At 40.8% G+C, this 23,860-nt stretch overlaps 2 protein-coding genes and 1 further gene across 6 annotated transcripts in view; all 3 read right to left on the bottom strand.

Moving 5' to 3' along the window:
• Nucleotides 1-5,979, bottom strand: part of PCDHA2 (protocadherin alpha 2) — a 217,496-nt gene extending 211,517 nt beyond the window's left edge. For 2 of the 3 annotated variants that reach the window (NM_018905.3, NM_031496.2), the window contains exon 1: nucleotides 3,479-5,979. In NM_018905.3, the coding sequence (NP_061728.1) occupies nucleotides 3,479-5,866 (2,388 nt within the window). In that variant the 5' untranslated portion in view covers nucleotides 5,867-5,979. Of the gene's footprint in view, nucleotides 1-3,353 lie in introns of those variants that run through there. The other variant, NM_031495.2, reaches the window with a different exon arrangement.
• PCDHA1 (protocadherin alpha 1) overlaps nucleotides 1-14,691 on the bottom strand; it is a 226,208-nt gene extending 211,517 nt beyond the window's left edge. The window contains exon 1 of one of the 3 annotated variants that reach the window (NM_018900.4): nucleotides 12,147-14,691. In NM_018900.4, coding sequence (NP_061723.1) covers nucleotides 12,147-14,540 — 2,394 coding nt within the window. In that variant the 5' untranslated portion in view covers nucleotides 14,541-14,691. Of the gene's footprint in view, nucleotides 1-11,969 lie in introns of those variants that run through there. The other 2 variants (NM_031411.3, NM_031410.3) reach the window with 2 other exon arrangements.
• PCDHA@ (protocadherin alpha cluster, complex locus) overlaps nucleotides 1-14,695 on the bottom strand; it is a 226,209-nt gene extending 211,514 nt beyond the window's left edge.

The following is a 23,860-nucleotide window of genomic DNA, read 5'->3' as shown; positions in this document are numbered from 1 at the left end:
TGTGCTAATTCATGACATACACTAAAATATTGTGATTCCTGTTTTAACAGTGGACATCTATTGGAAATATTTCCCATGTGACAGCCACTTTTCTATTTGTCTTAATGGAATTATCCCGTTAAATTATCACAATCCTCTGAAATAAGTTTTAATATTATTCGCTTTTTATAAACACATAGAGGTTAAGTAAAACGATATTATCTCTTGGTACGATGGGATTTCAATCTGATTCAAGACAACTTACCATTAACCTCTTTACCACCCAAGTTACATTTTATAGAAAAATCAGATCCTTTCAGATTTATGATCATCAAAACATTGAGATGTTGAAGTATTTAAAAGTGTGTGTGTGCTGTATATATTAAAACATACATATATCTACTTTTATGTTATTACAGCAACTGTTAATTTCTTAAAATATGTACATTTATGGTTTTTTAAATTTGTAGAATGTCTGTAATTCCCTCCCATGCCCCTTTTTCAAGAACTATAGCCTCATCAACTGTCTTGACTGTAACTTACATAAAGATTTCAGAAGTCGGTCCTTTACAGAGAAATTCAAACAGGAAATTTGTTTCCTATTGTGGGAATGTGATTTGTATATTTGTTACACTCACATCACATCAATTAAGAATATATTAGGTTTAATTTTTCCACACTCTTTATGTATTTGAATTTACCTGTATATACTAAAATGTTAACAATATAAAGTAATTACGTTTTTGATGATCTCCACTCCTGATGAATTTCTAGATTCCAGTTTTTTTAAAAGTTGTTACTTGAAAGAATTGATTATTTAACTAAACAGTGAAGGGAGAAAAGTAACCTAGGAACATAAGCCAGTATTTACTCAACATATTTAACACTAAGCAATAAAACATTCTAAAGATATCTGTGAATTCAATGAGAAGCATGAATTCTCGCCGCATTTGGAAGTGGGGCAAAGAAAATTTATGGAAAGAGGTCAAATTTAGAGAAATAAAATAATGTACAAATTTTTGCTTATACCCAGACCATTTAAAAATGAAATCAAACATGTGATTTAAATATTTAGGGGAAAAGTTTTCATTTCAGCTTTTGTTTCCTGTGTATTCATGAAATGGAAGCCAGGACTGCAACTTACTCAGATTTTATCATTCATATTTAGAATAGGATAAATTATCAATTGTTGTTTTCATGAATAAATAAATTAATATTTTGAATTAACTTTTTCAAGCAAGATAAATAAAAATGTAAGTTAATGATATTTGTTAATATCAAACTTACATAATTTCTAAATGATTATATTGTGCTATATTATGAAGAAGTAAGTAAACATTTAAGCATTATTTCTGAAAAGCATGGACCTAAGAAATAATTATAGCTATTAATATTCCAGTTACCACTTTGCTGAATTTTTAAAGATGGTAGCTAGTTTGAAAATAAGAGATAAATTTAAAATTTTTAAACTTCATGGACTTCATAGTAATGAGATGCCTTTGACAACTTATTGTAATACTGCACTTTTCAGTACCTTTAAGAGTTATACTAATTGCAAAATGGAATGTCACATGAGAATTTATAGCAGAGTAGACTCCATACTGATTATTAAGAGATAAAGGTAATATTAAAGGAACTATGAGTTTAGAAGATTGAGCCATTTTGTAGATAAAGTATCAGTGAATAATTTCTACTACCACCTAGATGTCACTTAGACAACCAAGAAAAAATGTAAATAAGAATGTTTTGAAAAAACTTATAGAGCAACAGATTGTGACTCCTGGAGATTTGGATATATGTGAATATAATTTTAGAAGCTTATCATTTACCTATGGTAGAAACATAGTGGTCAAGTATTACTTGGAAATGGATATTCTGACCTAACTATGAAATGGCTAAAGGTAAGATCACTAGTGGAAGTTATTTCTATGATTTATCAATATGCACATATATTTAGAATAAACAGCAAATAACTAAGAACTAAATAGTAGAGGACCGTTTAAGACAGTTATTTTATTGCAATACATCTGCCTTTGGTTGGAAAAGCTAAAAAAGTTCTTTCCAAGTGTAACATTTACTTGTCGAGTTCAGTGTTATAATTACCCAAAATAAATGTTTCAAGTGAAAATGTAGTCATCCAAGACCAGGCCTCATCTTTTGGAAAAATTCCAATTTCATTAGGAATATGGATGCTTCCAGGTAAAATTGAGTGAGCTCACATTAATGGAAAATGTATTCCCACGCATAGAATTAGATGCCAGAAAAAAGTAGTCAATCTCTGCAGTGGGAGGCCTGCACACATTGGCCTAATGATAATGATACTGAAAGGATGATTTATCAACCATTAACATAAAGACTGGGTAGTCTCCACTTAAATGAAGAAAAAGTCCCACCACCTGAAAAACCCCAGTGTGATTTTTAAATGTTAATATTTTCAAATTAAACAAAATTGAGAGGGTCTCTTTTCTCAATACTCTCTATTTTTGCCTGATAACTCAAAAATGTTATCAGTGTGAAATCTTTATACCAAATAATGGGTTATTTTACTTATAAAAAACATACTTAAGATTAGCAGTTATTCCTAAGTGCTGTCATTTTGTTGTAACAACCTGTGCTACATACTTTTGGAAATTCTGGTGTTAAAATATCCACTCAGGCTGCTTTCAAATACAAATAAAAAGACCAGGTGCAGTGGCTCACTCCTGTAATCCCAGCACTTTGGGAGGCCTAGGAGGGTGGATCACTTGAGGCCAGGAGTTTGAGACCAGCCTGGCCAACATTTAGTTGAGACCAACCCCGTCTCTACTAAAAATAAAAAATTTAAAAAAGAAAATAGCCGGGCGTGGTGGTGGGCGCCTGTAATCCCAGTTACTAAGGAGGCTGAGGCAAGACAATCACTTGAACCCGGGTGGCAGAGGTTATAGTGAGCTGAGATCACACCACTGCACTCCAGCCTAGGTGACAGAGCAAGACTGTCTCAACAAAAACAAACAAACAAAAAAAAAATGTAGCTTATTAACTATTGCATAGACAAGGGCATTGTTGATCCAAAGAACAATCTAAGAAATGTCCAGGATATAGGTTATTCCAAACACTATCCGACAGATTGGATAGACAGTGTCAGTTGAAAATACGTATTATATAATCAAATTCTTTAATTTCTTCCGATTGTGATTTTCAATTTTTAAGAGAGAAAATATTTATGGGAAATGTTTAATTTACAAATTTTGCTGAGGTGTTTTTCAGTGTTTCATGGTCTATTACTTATGACTTAATGATGGAAGTGCCAAAATGTAAAAATAAGAAAACAGTTATGTAGATTGTTTAAATAAATTGTTCAGTAAATGCAATAAATTGATCTCTAATTCATATTCAAAATCGCACGGTAGGATGATATAAAATAAATGAAGAACTATGAATCTAAATAACTAGTAGAAATCATATAGAATTTTTTAAAAAGAACAATTTTAGAATTGGCAAGAAAAAGTAAAAGACTCACCTTTCCTACGTATTCTGATTCTGAGAGCTGTTTCTCTTCTGCGGAGTCTGGACCTTGAGATAAGCTAGGGCTGAAGGCCATGAGGTCCGTCTTGGGGGGGTCCTCCCCAGAGCACACCCTCTGCCGCCTCTGCTGCGAGTAAGACCAGCTCCCCACGGCGCTGGAGCACACCAGCGTGGGCTTTCCTGGCGCGCGCGCACCCTCGGTGGGTGGCACCGAGCACCGCAGCGCAGTGTACAGCAGCACCGTGAGCACCAACAGGCTGGATACCGCGCAGATGGCGATGATCAGGTACACGTTGACATCCACCAGCGTAGCCTCTGAGCCCGCGGCGCCCACCCACGCCCGCGACGAGGCCTTGGGTGCCTGGCCACTTTCCACCAACGACACTAACACGGTGGCCGTGGCTGTCAACGCTGGTTCGCCGTGGTCCTTCACCAGCACGAGTAGGCGGTGTCGAGGGGAGTCAGCCTCGTCTAGGGCACGTGTCGTGCTGATCTCACCCGTGTATAGCCCCACGCGGAACGGGATGCGAGCGCTGCCAGTACCCAGCTGAAGCTCGTACGAAAGCCACGCGTTGTAGCCTGAGTCAGCGTCCACTGCGCGCACCTTCGCCACCACGTGCCCTGCACCCACCGACCACGGCACCAGCTCACTCACTGCGCCAGCAGCGGTGCCAGCCCTAGGCGCCAACAGTGCCGGCGCGTTGTCGTTCTCGTCCAGCACGAACACCTGCAGCGTCACGTTGCTGCCCAGAGGCGGCACGCCCGCATCCCGCGCGCTCACCTGGAACTGCAGCAGCTCCACTTCCTCGTGGTCCAGCGGCTGCAGCGCGTACACCTTGCCGCTCTCCGCGTGCACCGAAACGTAGCTCGACAACGCGCGCTCGCCCACCCGCCGCTCCACCAGCGAGTAGGACACCAGCGCGTTCTCCTGCGCGTCCGCATCCCACGCTGACACCGTGAAGATGTGGCAGCCCGGCGGGTTGTTCTCCTTCACGAATACTGTGTACTCAGGCTGTGCGAACGCCGGCGCGTTGTCGTTCACGTCGGCCACCTCGATGGACACGCTGGTGGTGGCCCACAGTGAAGGCGAGCCCCCGTCCCGTGCGGTCACCACCAGCTCATAGGCTGACACGCTCTCGCGGTCCAGGGCGCTGTCCAGCACCAACGAGTAGTAATTCTTGAAGGTGGACACCAGCTTGAAAGGGACGTGGGGCGTCAGGGAGCAGGTGACATGTCCATTCGTACCAGAGTCGCGATCCGACACCGTGATGAGAGCAATGACAGTGCCCAGGGAAGCGTTCTCTGAGATGGGAAGTGAGAGAGACGTTATTGAGACTTCTGGTGTGTTATCATTGATGTCCACAAGTTTTAATGAAATTTTACAATGTCCTGACATTGAAGGGGTTCCTTTGTCAGTTGCAGTGACCTGAATCTCGTAGGACTTTGCTTCTTCATAATCTAATTTTCCCTTAGTTCTGATTTCCCCTGAGATGGGATCTATGGTAAACTTAGTCTGTATAGTGGAGGACACATCACTACCGAGTGAATACACAATCTCGCTGTTCGGTCCTTCATCTGCATCAGAAGCGTTTAACTTAACCACTAAGGTCCCATTTGCCGTATTCTCTAACAATTTTACTTTGTAAACTGATTGGGCAAAAGTTGGTTCATTGTCATTTACATCTAATACCTTAATAAGTATTTGAACGGTGCCCGTGAGCTCAGGTTTGCCCCCATCAGTAGCCACCAGTAACAAATTAACCTCAGCAGTTTCCTCTCTGTCCAGCGATTTCCCCAGCACGAGAGACAAAGATTCGCTTAGTTCATCATTTGCCTGTATATCTAGGAAGAAAAACTCACTGGAGCTGAGCTTGTAGGAGAGAAGAGCATTTACTCCTATATCTGCATCAGATGCTCCCTCTAGAGGAAACCGAGAATCAAGCAGCCTTGATTCGGGAAACCGGATAGTCTTTACTGTCATTGGAAATATTGGCGGGTTGTCGTTAATGTCCTTCACCTCCACTTCCACATGGAAAACCTGCAGCGGCCTGTCCACGATCACCTCCACGTGGATGCTACATTCCGCGCTCCGCCCGCACAGCTCCTCCCGGTCGATCCGAGAATTCACAAACAAAATGCCATTCTGCAGATTTACCTCCAGAAGGTCCCCGTGTCTTTTGGACGCCACCCGGAACAGGCGCGGCACCAGCTCCTCCAGCTCCAGCCCCAGGTCCTGCGCGATGCGGCCCACGAAGGTGCCGTGTTTGGCCTCCTCGGGGACGGAGTAGCGGAGCTGGCCGCTCCCCACCTCCCAGGCTGCGAGGAGCAGAAGCGAGAGCAGCCGTGTCCAGGCCCCTCGGCCCCTTCTGATAGAAGACGCCATTACCAATCCTCAATGTTTTGATCAAATTAGAAGAGCATGTTTTGCAAAAATTTAAATATTCTAGTCTCTGTTAAAGTCCTGCTGCTTCTCTTATTCCTCCGCTTCTCTGAAGTAACAAAGGGGCTCTGGGTATTTTCCTTCCTAGAGAACACTCTATGGTGGACAGCGACATCATGTGGCTAAAAGGAAGGCTCTACTGTTTATTCTGTAGATTTAAAACTAGTCGATTTTCTGGTTTAAGTTTACTCATAGCTTTCATCTTGGAAAAAAATAACTATTTTAAGCCCTAAAATATATTACCTTTTTACCCTTTTTTACTCTGGTTAAAAAACACACAACATAATATTTAAAATTACCATATTAACTATGATTAAATGTACATTTCAGTAATGTTAAGTATATTCACATTGTTACAAATTTTTCATCTTGGAAAACAGAAACTCTATACCCATTAGACAACAACTCCGCTTTTCACCGTCACTCCAGTCTCTGGTAACCACAGTCCTATTTTCTATTTCTATGAATTTCACTACTTTAGATATTTCGTGTAAGTGGACTCGTAAAGTATTTGTCTTTTTGTGACTGGCCTATTTCACTTAGCACAATGTCCTCAAGGTTCATCCATGTTGTAGCATGTGACAAGATTTATTTCCTTTTTAAGGCTGAATACTAGTCCATCGTATGTATACACCACGTTTTGTTTATTCATTCAAGCATCCGTGGATGGTTCCTCAAGGTTCATCCATATTGTAACATGTGACAGGACTTCTTTCCTTTTTAAGGCTGAATAATAGTCCAACATATGTATACACCACGTTTTGTTTATTCATTCAAGTATTCGTGGACATTTGAGTTGCTTCCATTTCTTGACTGTTGTGAACAGTGCTGCCATGAACATGGGTGTGCATATATTTCTTTGAGACCCTGCTTTCAATTCTTTTGGATATATTAGCATTTTTCACTATTTCTTCAAATGAAGAACATAGTAATCAAAGGTATTTTAGTCCATTGAAAATATATGTGTATATATACTGTTGTTTTGTGATTTAATTTTGATTTTTGAATTGTTTGCAAATGTTTTGAAATTAATAATTTATTTGTTTCTCATTTGGATAATGTACTATTACTTTAGAATATTCCTTTTCCATTACATTTAGACTTTTATGCAAGAACAATACAATCGATCTCTTTTTTTGTGTTAATTACTTGAGAATATCTTCTTTTGTTAATTTTTAGCTGATCCCTTCACAGTAAAAAAATGAAAATAGAATAAAGATAAGATGAGGATGAAATAAAATGAATCAAGGAGTGGGATAGCATACAAAATCCATAATAAAGGGTCACCTTCAGTTACTCTAACCATGTCACCAATTTTGTTTTCAGCTTCCTAGAGCAAAGAGAGAAGTAAAATTAATTGCAAAATTTGCAATGTCCGTAAGAGAAAAGCAAAGCTCTTGTTAAGAAAAGCTAGCTTTTTTTCCAATAACAATTTTTTTCCCTCATGTACAGTATCTTAAGATACTCATTTGTACCATCTATGGAAATGTGTATTTATGTTAATCATACTCTAACAGTAAATCCCAAGTTAACCGATTTAAGCAAAAATAAACCAGAGAATCCTGTACTGACTCATACATGGAAATGGGTAATTAATTACTGGTTTCAGACAGAGCTGGGTCTACACCCTTCCATAATTCCATAAGGAAAATAATCTCCACATTTATAATTCCTTTTCCCCTGCTGAACTTCTTCTCAGATAGACTTTTCCCATCTGCTGGCAAAATGGCCAAAGTAGCTTTCTAGACTAAAAATTACCAGTTTGATGACTCTTACCAGAAAGTGCTCTTTTCTAATAGTCCAGCAAAAATCCTGGATATTACTTCCTACAGCCCAGTTTGGATGATGTAAATTTCCTTTAGTCAATAATTGTGATTTTTCTCACATTGGCTAGACATGGGTCCACTTGCTCATTCTTGAAGCCAGGAAATGAAATCAGCTCCACCTAAATTATGTGAACTGAAAAGTGGGAGGTTGGTTTTTATGTGAACTGAAAAGTGGAGGTCATGGCATGTACCCAAATTCTCCTGGAGCTTAAACAGATGGCAGATAGCTTCAGAACTGCTCGTTACAGCATTATGTAGTTGCAAAGCAATTGCATATGTATGATACCCAGTAATTATTATTTAATCTATAGCCAACATTGACCACTGTTGACACATAGAAGGAATTATACCTAGAATCCAGATGCTAGCTTCAGGAAACATGGCTTGCTTGAGACAATTTCTGCAATCATATAAGGTAATTAATTATACCGGATATTCAGAATGACATATGTGGGGGTATAAGAGGCATTTTGTGCTGTTATTTAGGATTTCTGAGAATATGGAATATTTCCCCCTTCCCCCGGAGATAGAATACTATTGCCAGATATGCAAGTACATTTCCCCCACAACGGGGAAAAGAGATTAAGAAGCCATGCTCAGCAAATATCCTTCCTCCCACTGCACTTGATATCTCTTGGTACCTGTTTTGGGTCAAAGATACCCCAAAAGACATCACTTTTCTGAGGTTTAAATAAGTGACCTTATTTGGAATAAAGGTCTTTGCAGATGTAACAAAGATGAGGATCTTGATATGAGATCATCCTAGATTACAGAAGGCCATAAATCCAATGATGGTTGCCCCTTATAAAAGACAGAAAAAGAGAAGGCATATAGTAACACAGGAAAGAAGGAAATGTGAAGACAGAGGCAGGAACTGGAGTTATGCTGCCACAAGCCAAGCAATGCCAAGAGCTACCAGAAGCTGGAAGATCCAAGAAAAAAATTTCCCCTAAAGTCTTCAGAAGAAATGCGGCCCAGGAAACACGCTGATTTTGGACTTCTGGCCTCCATAAGAGAGAAGAAATTTATTCTTACAGAGACTCTGTAAGAAAATAAATTTCTGTTATTTCAAGCCACCAAGTCTGTGGTAATTTGTTGCATCAGCCCAAGGAAATTAATATAGTACCCATTGCTAAAATTATACCCTTTGCACCTATCTATGGAACTGTATATCCCTTAACGTTTACATGTCCAAGCACTCATTCTTGCAAAACCTTCAACCTAGTCTTTCACAAAACTACTAGAAGACCCCAGAAGAAAAAAACAACAAGGGGAGTGGATGCTAAGCAAGAAAAAAGAAGGAATATCTATGACATTTTAAATTTCAGTTTATTATTTTTCTTCTGCTACCTTTTATATTTAAGAAAAAGAAATCAAAACACAGTAGATTTTTTCCATGGAATTCAAGTTATCTAATCTGCTTAACGGTCAGATGTCTTAGTAAAAAGTGTCAACAATAATGTTCTCCTACAGTTGTATTTCCTGTTGTAAAAAAAATGCCCCCCTCTTAAAATTTATCTGGTTCATATTAGCTTAATGGCAGTGGGACCTCAATACATATGCTGTTGTGAGTTAACATTCAGTTTTTCCTCTAAAATAAACATAATTTTATTTCTTGCTGCTGCAGAGTCCTTTGTAGTTATTGGGGACTTCCTATGACAGCTTTTCTCCACATGTTGGCTCAGCATCCTGGATTGCTTTGACTTTATGGTGTCTCAGTATCAACCAGTGCTTATGTAATTGCTGTAACAGGAAAAGATAGCAGAAGAGTCTTTCACTGGCAGTTACATAATTCTGCTTGGAAGTGACACACCATTCACATTTCATTGGCCAAAGGAAATTACACAATCGTGCTACCTCAAAATAACAGAAAAGTGAAATCCTCCAGCATTCTCAGAGGAATATCGGTAGTGGCTAGCAATATAAACTATTTCTCATTTTCATCTATTTGCATCCTTCACTGACCACAAGTCTCTAAGGTCCCTCAAATGATACCTTACTAGTTTGTGGATGAAATCTTGTGAAGAAAGATAAACCTGTTGAAAGTTGTGTTAACTATATGAAGATTTGGAATGGAGCAAGAACTTTAACTACCAATGGGAAATCCATTCATATTTACATTAAAATAAACACTAAGTGACAATACCACTCCACAATCATTTTTTCCTCCATTCTAGAATTACCTTTTCATAAAAATTACTTTTCAAATTTTGTACTCCTACGCCCATTTATTTTTGGTTTAATAGTAATTCACTATTATTTGTGATTCACCTTCAGGTTAATACACTCAACTAACCTAGAAAACTAAATAAAGAAATATTGAATGTATGTAAAGGCAATCCTAAGCCTGGCCATTAATACTGTTAGCAAATGAAGCTTTGGGGACACAGTAATGTGAATTGGAAAGAGAAATTATTTTGTGATTTTCTGATCTATTTTTTCCAATTTTATAATCCTGCAAAGTTTGTCTCATATTTTGAGGAACTGGGACATTTTCTTGGCAACGTGATGCTAAGATTATTTTTTTCTGATTCTTGCCAAAAGGCTGAGTACGATAATATATTAAAAGTTACAGAACATGTTTACAGCCTATTTTTTACAATACTCTAAGCAACAACTCTGTATCAACTCAAATCTCTGGAAACTTAACTAGCAAATTATATTAATTTCTCATAGAATGTCTTCACAAGGGGACATTCATGTATGTTTGAAAGTTTGACAAACAAAAATATATTCATTTAATATTTAAGTAACTTCAGAAGCAAACATAGGAAATAAAATTTAACATTATGCCCTTGACTGAATGACTACCAAATACAATGATGTCTACATCAAGGATATTTCCGTGGGTTTTGCAAAACTGCTATAAAACGTGCTGCCCAGTATATTTCTCAACCTTTACACAATCATCAGTAATCAAATCTTCCTTGATTTTGTAGCAGGAAGAGGCTATTTTTTCTCTCTTGAAGAAATGGTATAGAGAATTTCCTTTTATTGTTATTTTTTCATACTTCTATATTGACTTACAGGAAGGTAAGTATTGGGATTTTCACTCAGCCTAGGCTTGATTTTTGAAATAATGACTCCCACCTTTCTCTTGATCTTTTACTTTGACCTTAAGCAGATTTTTTAATAATTTGCTTTCACAAATTTCTTCCACTGTAAGCCACCTTAAACATTTTAGGAAAGGTAAAGAACTGTATTAACAGCAAGCAAGTTTTTGGATATCCTCGGGAAATTTGAAGAAAACTTAGTAATAATACTGAACTTAGGTTTTGCGAGCCTCAGCACCTTTATCCACAAAATGTGACGAAAGTCTTCACTTCATAAAATCGTTGGAAGGATCGAATGAGCTAAAAAAGTAAAGGGTTTTAGAACATTTGTGAGTGAATGGGAGGAATGGGAGGTGCTTAATAAGTGTTTCCTAACTGGATCCCCGAAATAGCAAATACATGCAATGCTAAGCCTTCTAGACCCAGGGGAATTCAAGGTTAATGGCATCAGGAAATTGTTCACAATGACAATGAAGTCGTGGTTGTATGTTTTCATAAAGAAATTAAACAAATCGCCCAATAAATGGTGTTTTTTGTTTGTTTGGTTGGTCGGTTTTGGTTTGTTTTTGTTTTTGTTTTGACAGAGTCTCACTCTGTCGCCCAGGTTAGAGTGCAATGGTGCGACTTCGGTTCACTACAACCTCTGCCTCCCGGGTTCAAGCGATTCTCCTGCCTCAGCCTCCCCATTAGCTGGGATTACAGGCGCCCACCACCAGGCCTGGCCAATGTTTTTGTATTTTTAGTTGAGACGGGGTTTCACCATGTTGTCCAGGCTAGTCTCAAACTCCTGATCTCAGGTGATACGCCCTCCTCGGCCTCCCAAAGTTTTGGGATTACAGGCATAAGCCACCGCCCCCAGCCAATAAATGTATTTTAAATTACGTTTGCTTAAAACTTCAGTTTATTGTTCACTTTGAAACTTAGCCACGTAAAGGGAAGGCAGATGATTTCTGTAACTTTGTCAAGAATTGTTTGTCCGGGGCTTGACATTTCACCAGAAAAGATAACATAATAAGTTACCCCGAATATGTCACTGTTATTTTACTACATTGAGATATTGTGTTAAATATGACCAACATTACCTTTTATTGTACCTTGTATTGTAGCTTTTTTAACCTGCCATTTAAATCAAGAAATACGACAATTTGTCCCTACATTTTTCTTTGCTTTCTAGTTCCATTCAAGACAAAACTGCCATTAATAGGATATCTACATTCAATGGTATGATTTATTTCAACGTTAGTGAACACCTTGAAGACATTTTTTAAAGTGATATTTGAAAAGATGATTAGACAAGTTAAATATGAAAAATATTTAAAGCCAAAACTCGAAAGTTGGACTTACATTACCAGAAAGATCCAAATTTGCTTCTGGTTGTTCATTTCTTTCTGACGTGTTAAGACTTGGAGATAGGCCTGGGCTGAAGGCCATGAGGTCGGTCTTGGGTGGGCCCTCGCTAGAGCACACCCTCTGCCGCCTCTGCTGTGAGTTCGACCAGCTCCCCAACGCGCTGGAGCACACCAGAGTGGGCTTGCCCGGCACATACGCACCCTCAGTGGGCGGCACTGAGCACCGCAGCGCCGTGTACAGCAGCAGTGTGAGCACCAGCAGGCTGGACACCGCGCAGATGGCGATGATCAGGTACACGTTGACATCCACCAGCGCCGCCTCTGGGCCCGCGACACCCACCGACGCCCGCGAAGACGCCTTTGGCGCCTGGCCGCTCTCCACCAGAGATACAAGCACAGTGGCCGTGGCTGTCAGCGCCGGCTCACCGTGATCCTTCACTAGCACCAGAAGGCGGTAGCGCGACAAGTCAGCCTCGTCCAGGACACGAGTCGTGCTGATCTCGCCCGTGTACAGCCCCACGCGGAACGGGATGCGCGCGCCGCCTGCTGCCGGCTGCAGTTCATAGGACAGCCACGCGTTGTAGCCCGAGTCGGCGTCCACTGCGCGCACCTTCGCCACCACATGACCCGCACCCACCAATCGCGGCACCAGCTCACTGACTGCACCAATAGTGCCACCCACTCGAGGCGCCAGCAGCGCCGGCGCGTTGTCGTTCTCGTCCAGCACGAACACCTGCAGCGTCACGTTGCTGCCCAGAGGCGGCACGCCCGCATCCCGCGCGCTCACCTGGAACTGCAGCAGCTCCAGCTCCTCGTGGTCCAGGGGCTGCAGTGCGTACACCTTGCCGCTCTCCGCGTGCACTGACACGTAGTTCGACAGCGCGCGCTCGCCCACCCGCCGTTCCACCAGCGAATAGGACACCAGCGCGTTCTCCTGCGCGTCCGCGTCCCGCGCAGACACCGTGAAGATGTGGCAGCCCGGCGGGTTGTTCTCCTTCACGAATACTGTGTACTCGGGCTGCGCGAACGCAGGCGCGTTGTCATTCACGTCGGCCACCTCCACGGACACCCTGGCCGTGGCCCACAGCGAAGGCGAGCCCCCGTCCCGCGCGGTCACCACCAGCTCATAGACCGACAGGCTCTCGCGATCCAGGGCGCTGTCCAACACCAACGAGTAGTAATTCTTGAAGGTGGACACCAGCTTGAAGGGGACGTGGGGCATTAAGGAGCAAGTCACCTGCCCGTTGGCACCTGAGTCACGGTCAGACACGGTGATGAGGGCGATGACGGTGCTGAGTGGAGCGTCCTCTCTGATAGGCAAATACAATGAAGTGACCGCCAGTTCTGGAGCATTATCATTTACATCCAGCACTTTCACCAAAACCTTACAGTGATTTGACATCGGAGGACTTCCTTTATCAACTGCCTTTACTTGAATTTCGTAGGATTTTGTTTCTTCATAATCCAGTTTATCAATTAACCTAATTTCTCCTGAGCTGGAATCAACTTTGAATTTTTCTTGAATGTCACGAGAAATACCACTGTCAAAGGAAAAGACGACTTCACCATTTACACCTTCGTCAGCATCAGAGGCATTTAATGTGGTCACTAATGTTCCATTTGCTGTAGTCTCTAACAAGTGGACTCTGTATACGGCCTGGTCAAACAGTGGGGCGTTATCATTAACGTCGAGGACGGTGATCAGCAGCTCAACTGTACCTTGCAGCTCCGGTTTGCCCCCATCAGTGGCAGTCAGTAATAAGTGAAGTTCTGGTGTTTCTTCTCTATCCAAATATTTTCTCAATTCAAGCCAAAGAGATTTACTCAGTTCATCACTTGCCTCTACATCCAAAGAGAAATAATCACTCGGGCTGAGCGTGTACGTTAGAAGAGCGTTAGCACCAATGTCTGCATCAGCAGCTCCTTCTATCGGAAAACGCGAATTCAGGAGTCTAGATTCAGGAATAAATATTATTTGTTCTCTGCCCCTGAAGACGGGTGGATTATCGTTAATGTCTTTCACCTTCACCTCCACATGGAAAACCTGCAGCGGCCTGTCGGCGATCAACTCCAGGTGGATGCTGCACTCCGCGCTCCACTGGCACAGCTCCTCGCGATCGATCCGAGAATTCACAAACAAAATGCCATTCTGCAGATTTACCTCCAGAAGGTCCCTGTGTGTTTTGGACGCCACCCGGAACAGGCGAGGCACCAGCTCCGCCAGCTCCAGTCCCAGGTCCTGAGCAACGCGGCCAACGAAGGTGCCGTGTTTGGCTTCCTCCGGGATCGAGTAGTGGAGCTGGCCGCTCCCCACCTCCCAGGCTGCGAGGAGCAGAAGCCAAAGAAGCAGATCCCGGGCTCCCAGGCCCCCTCTCCTAGAAAACACCATTGCAAAAGGACTACACCTTTCTTATGCTCTCCTCTTACTTCAAAATCATGCCATTTTATCTAATATTTCCAATCATTTATCTCTTTACCGTTTCTGTCTTCTCTCAGGCGGTGACAAAATGGAGCTTCCTCCTTCACTTTTAGTGATCAGTAGCTCCCTTCTATTGACAAGACTTTGTGGTGTACAGCGACATCATGTGGCCAATGTAAATTTTAGATCCATTCGTTGATTTTCAAAATGCAATCTATATCCGTCTGCAATTTGTTAAATGCAATCATTTTCAATTTTATGTCCTTTTAAGACCCAGAACATTTCAAATCTCATTGGAGAGTGTGTAATCCAGTATTTTCTTTTAGTAATGATTACAAACATATTACAATTGAATTAGAAACTTTAAGATCTACTTAACCTCTCCTTACATCATTTTATTTAAAACGATTTATCAGCTTATATATTTTTATTATTAAATATTTGCAACTGAATGTCAAAGTTTTAAAATAAGGTAGTTTGACTGATATGATTCACCTTATTCTAGGATAGCTTGGGTGTTTTTTTTTAAATGATATTATACACACACACGTACATATGCACATGTATATATAGTTATCAGGTACTTACAGATGACATTTTTGGAAAATTTCTGAACACATGTAAAATTCCTTTAATGTGGTATGAACAACTTCATCATTTTCTGATACTTTAACTGTTAGAATAAAGATATTTGTGACATTTTCCCTTGTTGTTATATAACATAATGACCTAAGTATTGAACTTATAACTCTGACTTCCAAAACTCAGTATTCCTAATTGAATCGGTGTCCACTAGATCTTTTATTCCTATGTTAAATTTTCATCCATGCTTTTTTCTTATCAAGACCAAACATTGTCATATTACAACAAAAATCATATGGATATTGAATCGCAATATCAGAGACACGTACTGAGAATCTTTATATAATCCATAGTCAAAAGAAAAATGTAAATCTTATGCAAAGATATATTTAAAAAATAATTTGAGAATAACCTACCTATTAATAAACCTCTCTTTCAATTTCAGTCCAATTCATAATCAGAATCCCATAGCTACATCTTAGTTTGACTAAGAAATGTGATCAGAATAAGCTATCACTAGTTTTTTTTTAAAGGAATGGCCATAATGTTTATATTTTAAGTACTAAGAATAGTTAAGGACATTAATGTGAATAAGGATTATTTAATCCAGTATGTCTTCATAATCAGAAAGCCTAAATCCTTGTTTACTTGATAATTAAGATATAGACAAAACATGGAGCTATTTTATTTTTAACAAGCAGTTTATATATTTTAACAGTTCAATGTAGTAATTACTTTATTACAAAAGATAGAGCAACATAAGATACATGAATATTCTCTTAGTCTAAAAGTGAAGCAAACTTTAAACTTGGAAACATTCTAAAGGTTAGCAGATTTAGAGAACATTGTCAACATTTGGAAGTGCAAAATACTTTAAAGTGTTATAAATTTTGAAGACTGACACAGTGGTGAAATCTCTGGGTTTTTGCCTTATCTATTCCAGACTTGGACCAGAAGAAGCCAACAACCAGAAACATTATTGGGTACTGATGCAAAAAGCTCAAAAAAAAAAGCATGCTTTCTCTAGACAAAGGACCAGGAAATAGGCAGCCTAGCAAGACAAAAAGCTCCTAGATAATCATTTACTCCAGGTAATCACCACAGAAAAAAACTGTGGCCCCACACCAGCAAAAGTTGAGTGGGGAATCTAGATTAACGCTCTTGCAAAGCTGTTAATGAGGAATCCCAATACTTCTGGTGGTATCAGATCAGGCCAAAAAATGAAACTGAGACTTTCATTCCCCCAACTGCTAGCAAGCTCCACAGTTGTGGTATCAGAGGAGACCATGTGGACAGCCTGGACTGTGCAGAAAATAACACGGTGCCACCTCCCCCTCTCTGCTGGGGTGGTGCATTAGTCCATTTTGCATTGCTATAAAGGAATACCTGAGGCGGGTAATCTATAAAGAAAAGAGGTTTATTTGGCTCACGGTTCTCCAGGCTACGTAAGAAGCATAGTGCCAGCATCTGCCTTTGGTGAGGGCCTCTGGAAGCTTCCAATCACAACTGATAGCAAAGGGGGAGCCAGCATAGCTCATGGTAAGAGAGAGAGAAAACAAGAGAGAGAGGGAGGAGGTGCCACACTCTTAAAAAATATATATCATGTGAACTCATAGAGTGGTAACTCACTCATTACCAAGCACCAAGCCATTCATGAGGAATCCGCCCCCATGACACAAACACCCACAACTAGGTTCACCTCCAACATTGGAGATCACTTTTCAACAAGAGATTCGGAGGAGCCAAATATCCAAACCATATCATTCCACCCCAGCCCTCCAAATCTCATGTCCTTCTCACATTGCATAATCCAATCATTCCTTACCAATAGTTCTCCCAAAGTCTTAACTTGTTCCAGCACCAACTCAATCAAAAGTCCCAAGTCCCATCTGAGACTCAAGGCAAGTTCCTTCTACCTAAGAGCCTGTAAGATTTAAAAAAAAAAAAAAGATACAATGGTGGTACAGGCATTGCATTGGGTAAACATTTCCATTCTAAAAGGGAGAAAACAGCCAAAAGAAAGGAACAGGCCCCACACAAATCTGAAACCACACAGGGCAGACATTAAATCTTAAAGCTCCAAAATAATTATTGACCCCATGTCCTGCATCCAGGGCATACTGGTGCACAGAGCAGACTCCTAAGGCATTGAGCAGCCCCACCTCCATGCCTTTGTAGGGTGCAACACCCATGGCTGATATCATGGCTTGGAATTGAATGCCTGCAGCTTCTCCAGGCTCAGGGTGCAAGCTGCTGGTGGCATTCTCATATTATTCTCGGATCTAGAGGATAGCGGCCCCCTTCCCACAGCTCCATTAGAAAGTATGCTGGTGAAAACTCGGTGGGAGAGCTCCAGCTCCACATTTCTCCTGGGAATTGCTCTAGTAGAAGTTCTTTACAGGAGCTCCACCCTATGGCAGGCTTCTGCCTAGGCATCCAGGCTTTCTGATACATCCTCTGAAATCTAGGTGGAAGCTGCCAAGCCTCCTTCACACTTGCATTCTGTGCGCCTACAGGCTTAACACCATGTGGAAACCATCAAGGTTTATGGTGGCCTGCACTCTCCAGCGCAGTGGCCAGAGCTGTACCTGTGGCCTGTACCTGTACCAGCTGGAGCCAAGGCAGTCAGGATCCTGGGAGCAGTGTCCCAAGGCTTCACATGCCAGCAGGGCCTTGGGCCTGGTCCTCAAACTCATTCTCTCCTCCTAGGTCTCTGGATCTGTGATGGGAGGGACTACCTGGAAGATTTCTGAAATGGCTTAGAGGCCTTTTCCCCATTATCTTAGGTATTAGCACTTGCCTCCCTTTTAGTCATGCTAATCTCCATGGCAAGTGGTTTCTCTGTAGCCCTCTTGAATCTATTTCCTGAAAATGCTTTTTCCTTCTGTTACTACGTGGCCAGGTTGTGACTTGTCCAAATTTTTACACTCCACTTCACTTTTAAATATAAGTTCCAACTTTAAGTCATTTATTTGCTCCCATATCTAATCATAGGTTGTTAGAAGCAGCCATGACACATCTTGAATGCTTCACTGCTTAGAAATTTCTTCCACCTGGCTGGGCGCAGTGGCTTATGCCTGTAATCCCAGCACTTTGGGAAGCCGAGGTGGGTGGATCACGAGGTCAGGAGATCGAGACCATCCTGGCTAACACGGTGAAACTCTGTCTCTACTAAAAAAATACAAAAAAAAAAAATTAGCCAGCCGTGGTGGCAGGCACCTGTAGTCCCAGCTACTCGGGAGGCTGAGACAGAAGAATGTCATGAACCCGGGAGATGGAGCTTGCAGTGAGCCGAGATTGTGCCACTGCACTCCAGCCTGCTAGAGAGCGAGACTCCGCCTTAAAAAAAAAAAAAAAAAAAAAGAAGAAAGAAATTTCTTCCACTGGATATCCTAGGTAATCATACTTAAGTTCAACCCTCCATAAATCCCCAGGACATTGACACAATGCAGCCAAGTTCTTTGCTAAGGCATAACAAGAGTGACCTTTGCTCCAGTTCCCAATAAATTCCTAATTTCCATCTGAGAACTCATCAGCTTGGCCTTTGCTATCCATAGTTCTATCAGCATTTTTGTCACAACCACTTAACAAGTCTCTAAGAAGTTCCAAACTTTCCCTCATCTTCCTGTCTTTTCTGAGACCTCCAGATTCTTCCAATCTCAGCCCGTTACCCAGCTCCAAAGCTGCTTCCACATCTTCAGATATCTTTATAGGAACACCCCAGTCTTTGGTACCAATTTTCTGTATTAGTTCATTTTGTGTTGCTATGAAGTAATATCTGAGACTGGGTAATCTATAAAGAAAGGAGGTTTATTTGCCTCATGGTCCTGCATGCTGTACAGGAAGCAGGGTGTTGGCATCTGCTTCTGGTGAAGGCCTCAGGAAGCTGCCAATCATGGCTGAACACGAAGGGAAAACCAGCATATCACATGATTAGAGAGAGAGCAAGAGGAAAAGGAAGGAGATACCACACTCTTTTAAGCAACTAGATCTTGTGTGAACTCACAGAGTGGGAGCTCACTCACTACCCCAAGAATAGCACCAAGTCATTCATGAGGGATGCACTCTTATGACCCAAACACCTCCTGATAGCCTCAACTCCAACATTAGGCATCACAATTCAACATGAGATTTGAAGAGGACAAATATCCAAACCATATCAGGTGATGTCAGAGGAGGTTTTAGTGGAGAGCCAAGACCTTTCACCATGTGATAACAAGGGCATCTCTACCTTAGTGTCTATGGAGAACACATGGTGGGGCCAAAACTTCCACCCCACCTAGAAGTATAGAGGACATGTCCATGCATTTGTCAATGTAGGCCTATGGGAAACTTGGGCTTTATCTTCAAGTGACAGTAATGAGGTAGTGCCAATGCTCTCTCTGACAGAACAGTGTCAGGAGAAACTAGCTAAAATAGAATAAGTAAGCTCTAGAGTCTCAAAACATGATATAAAAATGTTCAAGTTTCAATATGAAGAAATTACTCATTATTCCAATAACCAAGAAGATAAATTAAATTTAAAAAATAACATACCAATGCCAACAATGAGATGAAAGAGCTGTTAGAATTCTGTGATAAAAATTTTAAAGCAGTCACCATGAAAATGCTTCAATGAGCAATTGCAAATATGCTTGAAACGAATAAAAAAATAGAAACCCTCAGCAATGAAACAGAAAGTCTCAGCAAATAAATAGATGATGAAAAGAACCAAATGAAAATTTTGGAAAAAAGTACAATAACCAAAATAAAAACCCAAATAGAAGAATGGAGTGGTCAAAAAAGAGAATAAGGAAACTAAAAGAAAAATAGAAAATACTGAATCTGGGCAGGGCACAGTGGCTCACACCTGTAATCACAGCACTTTGGGAGGTGAAGGTGGGAGGATTGCTTAAGCCCAGGAGTTTGAGGTTATGGTGCAGTATGATCATGCCACTGCACTCCAGCCAGGGCAACAGAGCATGACCCCATCTCTAAAAACATAACAAATAAGTAAATAAATAAAAATTACGCAATTTGAAAAACAGCAACAAAATAGACTAAAAGAATAAAAAAGAACAGTACCTTGGGGACATGTGGGAACTTAACAAAAGCTCCAACATTCATGTCAGTGGAGTACTGAAAGAAAAGGCAAAGGAGACAAGGCTAAAAATAACTCAAAAAATGGCTAAAAAGTTCCCAAATTTGATAAACAATATAGAGAGGTGAGTGAACTCCAAAGACTCCACACCAAGGCATATAACAGGCAAACTTTTGAAAATAAATGAAAAAGAAAAAATCTTAGGCTAGGTGTAGAGGCTTGTGCCTGTAATTCCAACATTTTGGAAGGCCAAAGTGGGAGGATTTCTTGAGCCCAGGGGTTCAAGACCAACCTAGGCAACATAGTAAGACCTTGTCTCTACAAAAAATAAACAAAATTAGCTGGACATGGTGGCATGCACCTGTACTCTCAGTTACTTAGGAGGGTGAGGTGGGAGGATCACTTGAGCCTGAGAGATCAAGGCTGCAGTGAGCCAACACCATATCACTGCACTCTAGCCTGAGTGACAGAGCAAAACCCTGTCTCAAAAAAAAAAAAGAAAGAAAGAAAAGAAAAGAAAAAGAAAGAGAAAAAAAAACTGACTAAGTGAATCAAAAAAAGACCCAATTACATGCTGCCTATGAGTATCTCACTTGAAATATAAAAATACAGGGAGATTAAAATTAAAAATGTAAAAGCTATATCAACAAGCAAAATGTCTTGAGCATCCCCAAAACCTGTTGCCATGACCTTTGCTTTTTGTGTGTGTTGGGACCTTTGCTTTTGACCAGCCTGCTTTTACTTTGACTAGGCCATTTGCACCTCTTGGTAGCATTGCTTTGATTGTGCTTTGTCTTCAAGATCATACTGCTAAAGCCATGTGTCATCTCCTGTTACAGTTCTCCAAAGAAAGTATTCAGAATCTTGATCCCATTGTTTAAAATTTCCATGGAAACTCAGTTCTCATCTGCAGCTGATCTAGGTGCAATGGTTTTGGACCCATTGAGGAGAAATTTGCTCAACTTTAATTTTTTAGTCAGAAGTGATCAAAGGAAAGCAGAAGCATCTATCAAATAGAGTTCAAGACAAAGATAACTACCGGTATATAGAGGAAAATCAGGCCAGGAGCGGTGGCTCATGCATGTAATCCCAGCAACTTGGGAGGCCAAGGCGGGTGGATCATTTGTGGTCAGGAGTTCAAGACCAGCCCGGCCAACGTGATGAAATCCCCTCTCTACTAAAAATACAAAAATGAGCCTGGCGGTAGTGGTGCGCGCTTGTAATCCTAGCTACTTGGGAGGCTGAGGCAGGAAAATCACTTGATCCTGAGAGGTGGAGGTTGCAGTGAGCCGAGATCACACCACTGCACTCCAGTCCGGATGACAGAGTGAGACCCTGTCTCAAAAAAAAAGAGAGAGAGAGAGAGAGGAAAATTATAAATGATAAGGAGTCAATCCACCAAAAAGACATGGCAACCCTAAATGTGTATGCACCAAACAACAGAGCTGTGAAACAAAATCTCATAGAACTAAAAGGAGAAACAGATAAATCCACAATTATAATTGGAGACTTCAACAATTCTCTCTCAACAAATAACAGAACAACTAAAAAGAAAATCAGCAAGAATATAGAAGAACTCAGTAACATCACTAACCAATGGAAACTAATTGACATTTATAGAACACACTATTCAACAATCACGGGCTGAGCACAGTGGCTCACACCTGTAATCCCAGCACTTTGAGACACTGAGGCAAGCAGATCACTTGAGGTCAGGAGTTCGAGATCAGCCTGGCCAACATGGTGAAACCCTGTCTCTACTAAAAATACAAAAATTAGCCAGGTGTGGTGGTGCATGCCTGTAGTCCCAGCTGCTTGGGAGGCTGAGGCAGGAGAATCACTTGAGCCCGGGAGGTGGAGGTTGCAGTGAGCCAAGAGCCAAGATCATGCCACTGCACTCCAGCCTGGGCAACAGAGTGAGACTCTGTCTCAAAAAAAAAAAAGAGAGAGAGAGAGAGAGACTCCATCATCTCAAAAAAAAAAAATTTCAAAATACACTCTTCCAAGTGCCAGTGAAACATATCTCAAAACACATCTTGCCCTGAGTCATAAAACAAGCCTCAGTAAATGTAAAAGACATGAAATCATACAGAGTGTGTTCTGTGACCACAATGGAATCAAAGGAGAAATCAATAACATAAAGATAAAAGAAAAATATTCTAACACTTGGATGTTAACGTATCTCTAAATAATCCATGGGCCAAAGACGATGTCTCAAAGGAATAAAAAAAAATACATGGTATGAGGTAAAAAAAATTTAATTTAAAAAATAACACCAATACTAATCTCTCCCAGAAAATACAAGAGGTCTTCAAAAAGTTCATGAAAAATGCGTACTATGAAAAAATATGCATGAATTTAAATAAAGTTTGCATCATAATAAACTTGTATTAACTTGTTATAACATGTCTGAGCAGGATCTAGTTTAAGCCACAAAGAAGGATAGGACTTCCGTTTGAAAAGACTCCCGATTAGAGCAACATGAATTCACTAAAATTGAAGCAAGAACAAACATCAGATTTATGGTGAAGCTTGGGTGGAAGAATAATGAAATCATTGACACTTTATGAAAAGTTTATGAGGACAATGCCTCAAAGAAATAAGTAGTGTACAAATGAATAACTTGTTTTAAGAAGGGATAAGATGATGTTGGAGATAAAGCCTGTAGTGACAGGCTATCCATATCATTTTATAAGAAACAAATTAGTCCTGTTCATACCGTAATTGAACAGGGCCAATGATTAACAGCAGATACACTAGGAAATACCATAGACATCCCAGATGGTTCAGCTTACACAATTCTGACTAAAAAATTAAAGTTGAGCAAATTTCTGCTCAATGGGTGCCAAATTGCACCCAGATCAGCTGCAGATAAGAGCTGAGTTTCCATGGAAATTTTAAACAATGGGATCAAGATTCTGAATACTTTCTTTGGAGAATTGTAACGGGAGATGAAACATGGCTTTAGCAGTATGATCTTGAAGACAAAGCACAATCAAAGCAATGCTATCAAGAGGTGTAAATTGTCTAGTCAAAGTAAAAGCTGGCTGGTCAAAAGCAAAGGTCCCAACACACACAAAAAGCAAAGGTCATGACAACAGGTTTTGCAGATCTTAAAGGTATTTTGCTTGTTGACTTTCTGGAGGGCCAGAGAACGTTTTAAGAAAGCCAAGCTTTAGCAGAAAAATAACCAGGAAAGCTTTACTATAGAGTTCTTCTCCACCACAACAACGCTCATGTTCATTCCTCTCAACAAGGGCAATTTCACAAGAATTCTGACATGTAAAATCACTGGGCATCCACCATACAGTCCCAGTTTGGTTATTTCTTTTTTTTCTTTTTCTTTTTTTTCGAGACAGGGTCTCACTCTGTCGCCCAGGCTGGAGTGCAGTGGCACGATCTTGGCTCACCGCAACCTCCACCTCCCAGGTTCATGTGATTCTCCTGCTTCAGCCTCCTGAGTAGCTGGGATTACAGGTGTGTGCCATCTTGCCCAGGTAATTTTTATATTTTAATAGAGATGGGTTTTCACCACGTTGGCCAGGCTGGTCTCAAACTCCTGACCTCAAGTGATCCACCTGCCTCTGCTTCCCACAGTTCTGGGATTACAAGTGTGGGCCACCATGCC

Source organism: Homo sapiens, chromosome 5 (assembly GCF_000001405.40).
Source record: "Homo sapiens chromosome 5, GRCh38.p14 Primary Assembly".
Classification (NCBI taxonomy): Eukaryota; Metazoa; Chordata; class Mammalia; order Primates; family Hominidae; genus Homo; species Homo sapiens.
This window is presented reverse-complemented; position numbering and strand designations above follow the sequence as displayed.